Source organism: Homo sapiens, chromosome 3 (assembly GCF_000001405.40).
Source record: "Homo sapiens chromosome 3, GRCh38.p14 Primary Assembly".
Classification (NCBI taxonomy): Eukaryota; Metazoa; Chordata; class Mammalia; order Primates; family Hominidae; genus Homo; species Homo sapiens.
The window spans coordinates 179,063,386-179,073,415 of NC_000003.12; the positions used below are offsets into that span (position 1 = coordinate 179,063,386).

The 10,030-nt window shown below is 41.8% G+C and overlaps 1 protein-coding gene across 11 annotated transcripts in view, besides 2 other annotated features; it reads right to left on the minus strand.

Moving 5' to 3' along the window:
• ZMAT3 (zinc finger matrin-type 3) overlaps nucleotides 1-9,128 on the minus strand; it is a 55,291-nt gene extending 46,163 nt beyond the window's left edge. For 4 of the 11 annotated variants that reach the window (NR_164720.1, NR_164721.1, NM_001375826.1 and 1 more), the window contains exons 1-2: nucleotides 8,210-8,424; nucleotides 4,098-4,424 (exon numbers count right to left, since the gene is read on the minus strand). Coding sequence is in view for 9 of the 11 variants with exons in the window: in NM_001375826.1 (NP_001362755.1) it covers nucleotides 4,098-4,367 (270 nt within the window). In the remaining 2 variants the exon portion in view is untranslated. Of the gene's footprint in view, nucleotides 1-4,097; nucleotides 4,425-5,638; nucleotides 5,958-7,941; nucleotides 8,425-9,034 lie in introns of those variants that run through there. The other 7 variants (NM_152240.3, XM_011513073.3, NM_001375829.1 and 4 more) reach the window with 5 other exon arrangements.
• Nucleotides 8,151-8,300: a silencer, noted in NCBI's record as "silent region_14908". NCBI's record gives its function as "represses an Ori minimal core promoter by ATAC-STARR-seq in GM12878 lymphoblastoid cells {active_cell/tissue: GM12878}" and the evidence as "EXISTENCE:reporter gene assay evidence [ECO:0000049][PMID:35858748]".
• Nucleotides 8,441-8,850: a silencer, noted in NCBI's record as "silent region_14909". NCBI's record gives its function as "represses an Ori minimal core promoter by ATAC-STARR-seq in GM12878 lymphoblastoid cells {active_cell/tissue: GM12878}" and the evidence as "EXISTENCE:reporter gene assay evidence [ECO:0000049][PMID:35858748]".

Sequence of the window (10,030 nt, forward strand, 5' to 3'; positions counted from 1 at the left end):
TCCTAATTCTAAAACTATTCTTTCACCTGTGTTCTCTTTCTCTAATCAATCTAATTCATGGTAGGTTGCTATCTGGCCACTAACTATTACAAATAGAAAGCCATGTTTATGACAAATTTTATAAATGTACTTTGAGTAAGTAGATCTTTTTAAATATATACATGCAAATTAGCAAATAAACTGGTGACTTTAAACTGTGGATGCCTTAGCAAAATTCATCCGTGCTTTTTGCTTTTCTTTATTTCTGTTAATAACCTTCCCTGCTAAAGCAATTCTTCCTCTGGGCATTTATGCTGATGAAACAGTGGTATGTTACCCCATGCCAGCCTTGCCCTAAGTAACCTGAAGCCTGCAGATAGACTTTAATAAAATGAAAATATGTTTCTCCTCCAAAGATTGGATTTTAAATTAAGTTATATCCAAAGCCCTAATTTTAAGAATATAATATTTGATGGCTTCATTAAAAATAAAACAATAGCTAATGATGTTTTGAAGCCAACTGACCAGTTTTTAAAAGTCCTTGGAATAAAACTAAATCTGTGATGACTACAGATACACATGGGTCACTGCTAAGGTAGCCCCAGCTTGGGAACACTGGGATGTCAGGAAAAAATGCTAGTGAGCTTAAAGGGAAGTATTTATTGGGCAGTTTCCACTGCGTGTCCTGGATTACTGGCACATGATACAGTCCGGCTCTAGTGTAACCACCATTGTTTACAATACCCGAGGCAATTTGAAACTCCACGATTTCAACAATGGCATCAACTGACTAAAAAGTTTTGAGTAATGTAATCACAGTGATTTATCACTTCACACAAATGTGTTTCTAGCTCATAAACAGGCTACCCGTGACCCATTTTATCTCACACATAACTGAAATAATGAAGGTACAGCTTGGTAATGCTCTGTATTAAAAATTAGTAAGTTTTTAGTCTTGAAATAAAATTTTACATCCATCATCTCATTTAATCCTAAACCACTTTATTAGTCTACAATCATTGGCATTCTACTTATTCCTGTGCTTGGTAAGCCTTACTCATTGGTCTTATCCTTCTCTTTTTTGTGTGTTTTTTGTTGTTGTCTTTGTTTGCTGGAGTGCAGTGGCATGATTATAGCTCACTGCTGCCTCAATCTCCCAGGCTCAAGTGAGCCTCCTGTCTCAGCCTCACGAGTAGCTGGGACTACAAGTGTCTGCCACTATGCCCAGCTAATTTCCTTGTATTTTTGTAGAGACAGGGTCTTGTTATGCTGTCCATGCTGGTCTTGAACTCCTGAACGCAAACTATCTTCCCGCCTCAGCCTCCCAAAGTGCTAGAATTACAGGTGTGAGGCACCACACCTGGCCTGGTCTTAGCCTTGTCTTCAGTAATCTTTCTTTTATTACTGCTTATTCATGTACACCCTCTGATGCATCTTTTTGGCTAACATTTCTACGCTTTCCTTCTTTGGTAGCTCACCCACTTCTAGAGTTATGTTCACACTCTGTTTATTATTCTGATCTACACTTTGCACTATCCACTCTCATCTTGACCATTTCTATCTTATTGAAATCCAGATTTCACTTCTAAGATTACCTTTCTTCTATGTTACCCTAACATAATTGCTCTGTATTTTTACACATGAACTGCTTTGCCTTAGTTGTCTGTTAAAACCTTCTCTCTTTAAGAGTTACCAATAACATCAGTCTCATTCGAATCTTTGCTTCTGAAGTCTTAGCAATATACTTTATTATACCCAAACTTTTCATTTTCTGTAAGCTCCTACTTTCTGATTACTTGCTTGCCTCTTTTCTTTCCCATCTTTACCCTGGTTTTTAGCTGCTTAAATTGTCCCATTACATCCTGTTCTCCTTCAACCTTTCCACTTAAAAATTCTGATTTTTGAGAAATTTACCTAAATTGTATTTCCCTTTTCTTATATTTTCTAATTTATTTATTCACTGTATCACTGAGGAAACTGAAATTAAGTATAATTACTAATCTTGTCAACTACATAGTTTAGAACATACGCAAAAATGTAAAATAAAAGAAAAAAACAAATGTTGATTCTGCTTATCTAGTTTTAGCCTTATAATCCAAAGACCTTGCATCAAACTGAATCTTCTCTATGTATCATCAGTAGCACCTTTCAAAGTCCATGAAGTCAAAAAGTTTTATTAGGAGAAAAAAAGAAATAAGGTATATGTATAATCCATGGACATGTTAAAATTACACACTGCCCGAGAGTTTTCCCTCATAAAAGTAAACAACTCTTCCTTAAAAGGGAATTATAGGCTGGGTGCGGTAGGTCACTCACGCCTGTAATCCCAGCGCTTTGGGAGGCTGAATCTAGCCAACATGGCAAACCTCCATCTCTACCAAAAATACAAAAATTAGCTGGGTGTGCTGGTGTGTGCCTGTAATCCCAGCTACTCGAGAGGGTGAGGCATGAGAATCGCTTGAACCCCGGAGACAGGGGCTGCAGTGAGCCAAGATCGCGCCACTGCACTCCAGCCTGGGCAACAGAGCGAGACTCTGTCTCAAAAAAAAATAAATAAATAAAGATAATTATATATGTGTATAGCATACAAGTGGGTTTGCCCCCAAGTTAATGATTTGTTAGGGGCTTTATATGGCTAATAATTAAACCTTTAGAACCCTGGCTTCTTTTTTCAAAGTGAGTCTTAGGCTATAAAACTGAACATTCCGTAGGAATAAATGAAGAAAGCTAATACAGTCTTGGAGTTGAGATTAATCATGCTAACAGACTCTGCTTGAATGGTAAAGACAGGCAAAGGAAGACCCTGTATCAAACAACTGTACTGGACAGCAAGGTGATGAGAGTACGTACTGGGGAAAGGGGGAAAACGTAAAAATAAAACCAGAAGAGGCCTTTAGGAACCAATGATGACACATGTCAAGAGCTGCGAGATATAATTAACTCAACTCTCTGCACCTGAGGGCAAAACAAAACCACATAATGGGAACTTAAAGGAGGCAACATATTATGTCTTCCCCTAAATACCAGAGAAAACAATTGACCATCAAAATACTTCCGACATACAATCAAAAAGCAACACAATAATCAGTCTTTGGGATCAAAACAAAACAGAAAAGACTTAACACCCACAGTAAACAAAGTGGAGAAAGTTATAGTGCACAACAGAAGAAACACCTGTGTAACAGTCTTCTACCATACTCTCTTATTACTAGAGATTTTCAAGCAGATAATAAATAATCAAATCAGTGATGACCCGGGAAGACATCATTCACTGGGTTTTGTCCTTGATTATCTCCCAGGTCTCTTTTCTCCAAAAAAGGAAATTATTTAACTTTATACAGACAAATGTCTAGAATAAAAAGAAATATTGTACCGTCTCTTGCTAACCAAAGTTTAATTTTCCATTTGTTCTTAGGTAATATTACCCTTTAAAATGGTCCTTTCCACTAGCTATTCAACATGGAGGTGAAAGCTTTAAATCTTAAAAACCAGTATTAGTTTACGCTAATGGGCTAAAATAAATCAGAGTATGTTTATTATGAATGAAGGATAGGGCTCAATATTGCAATGTCATTTTATTCTCACCACAAAAAGATACCTGTGTTTTCCTTACCAGTGATAGGATATATAAGAGTTAGAAGTCAAAAATGGAAAGCATAAGAGTCATGCACAGAGGTCACCTCGAAATGATGCAAATTATATTAGCTTCTAAACAATTTTACACTGAATTGAGTTCGGTACATCATGGGTTTTTTTGTTTGTCTGAGACAAAGTCTCGCTCTGTCACCCAGGCTGGTAAATAGTGGTTTAAATACTTGTTCTTCTTAAGACTACAGGTTCAGATGCCAGCATAGATCATTTACATTTGCCTACAAAGACTGGTAAGCTATCGCATGCCACACAGCTTAGTGTAACAGGTTGAGATCCAGTCTACAAAAAGTGATACTTATTTTTAAAGTAAAAACATAAGGCTTTTAATCAAACAAATTCATAGTTAGTTGTTCTCTAAGCCATCTTGGTATTCCAGGCACAGTCATATCTGGAGAGACAACTGCTAAATAGCCAGAGCCCTGAAATGTTCACCCTACTCAATGCCTGGTTTTCTTTTCTCCCTTTACCTGATAATGAGCCTGGGCTTGCTGTGCAGAGTTCAAGGTGACATTGCAGAGTTTGCAGTACAGGGGCTTACATAGCTCCTCCAGGGCACAGTCTTGCTCCCCTCCCTTCGATAACTCTTCTTCCCCTGCAAGAGGCAAGGAAGCCTCCTGCCCAAAAGGCTTCTGTGGTGGAAGCTGCAAGGTTCCTGTAGACCTGGTGGCCACTGACATAGGAGGCGAGGGTGAGGGCTGCTTAGGTGGAGGAAGCACGGCGTGTTGCAAGAGGATCATTGGGTAGGGAAGCCTGGGGCATAATCCAGTGGGTGATGAGAAGCAAGGTCTTCAAATCTGAATCAACAGCAAAAAAACAGAAAAAAAAACTCACTTGAAAATCAGACTTCAGCAAGATAACATGTAAATGACAACATAATCTGACCCTTTCTTCTACTTCTCCAAACCCATCTTTGGGACTTCTTTCCTTTGGCCTCATTTAGCAGACTTCCCCTGCCTGTTAATTCATGTTAACACGGTGCTCTTCCACTGAGAATGGCTTTATAGATTTGGCTTTATTTTGCTTGGCACAGTTCCAACTGCTATCCCTTTGGCCCGTGAACATTAACAGCATTGCATCCACGGCTAAATCTAAAAGTCACATGGCTGAAATGGACATCAAATGTCACCTAGTCCAGACCCCTTCCCTCAGGCACACTTACACTTAAACACTCTTAATGATAATCATGCACAGACAAAAACACCACGAGCTGTCCAGGTGTGGTGGCTCACGCCTGTAATCCCAGCATTTTGGGAGGCCAAGGTGGGCAGATCACCTGAGGTCAGGAGTTCGAGACCAGCCTGTTCAAGACAACATGGTGAAACCCCGTCTCTACTAAAAATACAAAAATTAGCCAGGTGTGGTGGCGAGTGCCTGTAATCCCAGCTACTCAGGAGGCTGAGGCAGGAGAATCGCTTGAACCGGGGAGGCAGAGGTGGTCGTGAGCCGAGATCGTGCCATTGCACTCCAGCCTGGGTGACAGAGCAAGACTGTGACTCAAAAAAAAAAAAGACCACCAGCTAAAAATCTTAGCAAACATATCTTCCAACCAACCAATATCAAAAAGAGTGTATAAAAGAATATCATCTTGCAGAATTCTTAAAGCACTTATAGAACTAGCTAAAATTTCAGGGAACTCTAGGAGTAGCCTAAAGTATGACAGAAATAAATAAAATATGTTCCTTCTGATCAACTAGCAATATTTAAGTAGTTGAGCAAATGTATAGCAGAGGTGGCAAACAGCCTGTGGGCCACATACAGCCACAGATGTGCTGTTTGGAATATACAGTTTTGTTTTCATTTTTTTAAGTCGAATTAGTTGTTAGCATTTAAAAATCAAGAGATTCATGGCTTCTCTTGAAAAAGGATGATCTGGCATCACTTGGCCCACATTCCTATATGGGACGCAATTAGCTAGTTAGTGCTCAGAGGCACTGTGCCCTCTAGCGAGGCCTGCCTTCTCTGGGACACCTCAGTCCCCACTCAGCTGCTGCCTGTACTTGTTACTTGCCTGTTCTCTGTGAGCTCTTGAGTTTACAGCCCTGCCTCATACAGCCTTAGATTATATTCATCAGCCCCTGTAAAACCCAAATTTTTCCTCCTTCTCTAGGTAAATTACCTACACAAAATAAGGTATCAAGGAAATGTCCAATGGAGTAATGGATCACACCACCATAAGCCACAGTATAATTCCAGTTCCTCAATCTTGAGGCTATTTCCCTCCTCCTTCTTAACAAATAACTGATAGTCTCTATTATAATTCCCTCAGAAAAGACCCAAAATGTTCCTCTCCCTCTTCAATCTTTATCCATAATGTCTCCTGCCTCCCCCCCAGATGGCGCCGTCTAACCCTGAGTGTCTCAAAATGAACCACAGTACACCCTTTGAGTTCCCAAGATTCTAATTAACCCAAATTAGAATCCTTATTTCAAAATCCACAATTCCCTCCACTCTCTCAATACAGTATTATTAAAACCTCTTCTCTTGGTCAATAGAATATGGCTATTTTAAGCTGCTGAAATTTTCCATCTGCAATGGAAATGTGTACATTATGGCAATAATAGAATTACTAAAATGAATCAAGTAAATTTTGAAAAGTTAAAGTCTATTTTACCATATTTGATAACTACACAGCACCTGAAAATCAAGTAACAACTTTCAGACGAAATTTGGGGTGGGGAGGCAACAAAGGAAATCAGCGTGATGGGAAAATAATGTAGTTAAGGACAAAGTGCATAAGTATTAGTCATAGAATTTAACAATACTTCTCATTAATCACAAAATTTAGAAAAATGATAATATTATTTAATTTTTAAGCAGAAGTGTACTGCCCATATCTCTGGGAACATAAAAGAAAAGCAATATAGAGTTTTAACATTTAAAAAGTCAGGTTCTCTGTAATGGTATTATTTCTCTTAATTGAATCAAGCAAAGATAGTCCAGAAAGCAAAGACAGATATGGTCATTTTAGAAAACGGAACTAAGTAGACAAAGAACAGCTTTTAAAAAGTTTAACTACCTAATAATAATAATTCATAATGTTGAAAAGCTACTGATGTCAAATTGCCACAAACATTCTGCTAGTTCATTAGTGAAAAGGTGGGGGGGGGTGTCAAAACCTCTGGATAAAGGAAATCAGCAATATAAACAGAAAATCAAATGCTACCAATTGCCTAGGCATGTCTGGACTTGTTTTATGAAAGCTCACTTTCACTTGAGGAAATTCTAGCATGTGTCTCCCCCAGTGTTATCTACAGGTTTCCCTCAAAATAAAGATCCTTCTCAAAGAACAGAGGCACAAAAGGCCTCCTACCAGAGGTGACAGTTACCTGATTTAAAGAAAAAATTCTTGCCAAACACAGATTTACCCATTATCACATTTGATCTTTACAATTTTTAAAGAGTAGCTTGATATCCCAAATTTATTTCTTGTTATATTTAACAATCAACACAATGTCGACTCCTCAAAAAAATCTATGTATGACAATTGCATCAAATATTAGTACATTTGCAAACAAAAATTAGTATAAAATATAAATCTTAAAATGAATAAAACCAAGTCTTCAGTGAATGCATGAATGATGGAATACAGAGACCCAAAACATGCAACTCAGATCTGTTCAACTGTTGCATTGGTTTAAAAGGGACTAATTTGAAGACTGGCATAAATATTCTTCAAATCTTAAAAACCAGTCACTTTGATGCTTGCGATGGCATAAATGAAGGATTTATGCTGGTTAATGTCCTGGTTTGGAAAGGAGCTAAGACGACATTAAAGAAAATCAAAGCTTCACAAGGTACCCTGTTTAAAGAAAATTAATTGTCATAGCATACTTAGTTTTAATGATTGGACTGGGGCCTACTCTTCACATACTGTGTTAAAGACAATCTCTTGTCTCATTTGGAGAAATCTACAGAGGAAAGAGAATAGAATAAAGGAACAGGTTAGGAGCACCTCAGCAAACTAGGTAAGTCTGTAATTGGGAATTCTGGAAATGAGGGAAAGGCAGCGAGCATTACTCAGAGGTCATCAGAACGCAGCAAGAAGGAATGAGAGGGAGAAAAGTTAAAAAAAATAATAATAATAATCACTTGAGGCAAGGTGTATCCTATAAAGAAGGCTCAAAAGAACGCAGAAAACTGGGGAAGAGGCCTTGGTGAATTGGCGAATGTTTTTCAGTCTCCGCTGTGACGGTTCCTAATCCTAGAGAACTGTTTACAGATTTGAATCAAAGCTACAGACAGTTCAGCGTCGCCCACATCCACCTTACATTCCTAAGATGTGCATGCATACACACGAACCCACACACGCACCTCAACCCGGTATGGATGCCATCACGAAGGATGGAATCCCCCGACTCCCACGGGGCGGGGGCAACTGAGAGGGCCAAGGCAGCTGCACGCACAGATGATCCACCTGGTCCACGTGAAATGCCTGAAACAAGCAAACTGATAAATAGAAGCAGCGCAAGCCCTGTCACGTGGAGGGCAGATGGAAAGAGCATCGGAAAGGAACCGCTAGTCCCCGGCGCTCCAGGGGCTCGTCCTGAAAGCTCCGCGGCTCCCAATCGCCCGCACTTACCGGAACCCCCGGGACGCGCCGGCAGTCTCCGCGCCGCGTCCGCCCGGGACGCCCGCGACGCCCGCCCTGCGCGCCCGGCTCGGCCCAGCTCGACCCAGCCTCTTCTCGGAGCAACTTTCTCCGCCGGCCGCCGCCGAGCCCCCTCCGCAGCCGAAGGCTGACTGTCAAAAGTCAGTCCAACCCGACCCACAGGGAAACAGCTGCAGGAAGTGACTGCGGAACCGGGAGGCGGTGGAGGAGGAGACTGAGGGCGCCGGCTCGGCGTCGCCACTGCGCATGTGCTTGGCGGAGCAGGCCCGGCAGCGGTGGCAGCGGTAGCAGTGGCGGCTCCCGCATCCCCGGCGGGCGGCGCGTGGGTCAGGTGCCCTGGCCGCGAGCGCAGGGGCGCGGGGTTAGGCCGGCGTGGGGAACAAAGGCACGAGTGAGAGGCGGGAGGGTCCCGCCGCCAATCTCAGCAGACAGCCCCGAAGAGCAGTTCAGCAGATGCCCTGGAAAGTTAATCCTTGGTAGAAGCCTGGGCAGAGCTTTTGCAACTTTCATCTCCAGTCATTGGGATCCAAACATTGTTCATTCTGTTCCTCCCTTAGCCTGCTGGTTGGCGGTTAAGGCGGCTGAGTGGATCCTTTAAACTGCTGCAACAGAACCTTTAAACTGCTGCTCTCCCCACTTCCGCCCCAGGATGGAGGAAGAAGAGCGTGGCTGCCTGCCCAGTATCGGCCTCCCTCACACAAAACGCCCCCACCCACCCACACACACACCTTCCCTCCCCTACACGAAAGTGAGCAGGAGATAGAGGAGACTTTCTCCTGACCCCCAGAGGCTCACCTGCAAGACAGGAAGGACCAGGAAAAGAGTGGCCAACGCTAGGATGTCACATCCTTCATAACCAACCTGGACATCTTCAATGTTAACACTGAGTGATGAGCTGAGGAAATTCCGGCTCTAAACTTATAGCGTAAATTAACTCGTATGAAGATCTGCTGGGGTATTATTTTTGTGTGTGGCAAACGATAACAAATATACTACTTTAAGAGTACAGGCCGGGCGCGGTGGCTCACGCCTGTAATCCCAACACTTTGGGAGGCCGAGGCGGGTGGATCACGGGGTCAGGAGATCGAGACCATCCTGGCTAACACGGTGAAACCCAATCTCTACTAAAAATACAAAAATATTAGCCAGGCGTGGTGGTGGGCGCCTGTAGTCCCAGCTACTCGGGAGGCTGAGGCAGGAGAATGGCGTGAACCCGGGAGGCGGAGCTTGCAGTGAGCCGAGATCGCGCCGCTGCACTCCAGCCTGGGTGACAGAGCGAGACTCCGTCTCAAAAAAAAAAAAAAAAAAAGTACAGTTCAGTGGCATTAAGTACATTTGCATTATTGTGTGGTTATTTTTTAAAACACGAATTAAAATGCCAAGGAGATCTAAGTATAGTAAGATGTGCCCTATTAGTAGGGAAACAACTGCAGGAAATCAAGGCTGTTTCTTTGGCTGAAAAATGCACCAATCCAATACCAACAACAACAAACCATAAAAGACTTCATAAGTACAATGAATATGAAGTACAAACATATACACACAGTGTACACCAGCCATTTGGGGAGAGTAATCCATCACCTGAATTGTTTTTCCAGCTGTATAGGTACATTTACTTTATGTGTCACTATTTTAAAGGGCTATATTGTTTCTAAAATAATAAATGCTGCTAAAATCCACTCTCCAGCCCCTTTTCTATATGGTCTTTAGCCAGTCTTAGAACTTCACAGTCCACACTCCTTATCTAGGACCACAAGTAGGCCTTGCGGAGCCTTTCCGATCTGACCTTCC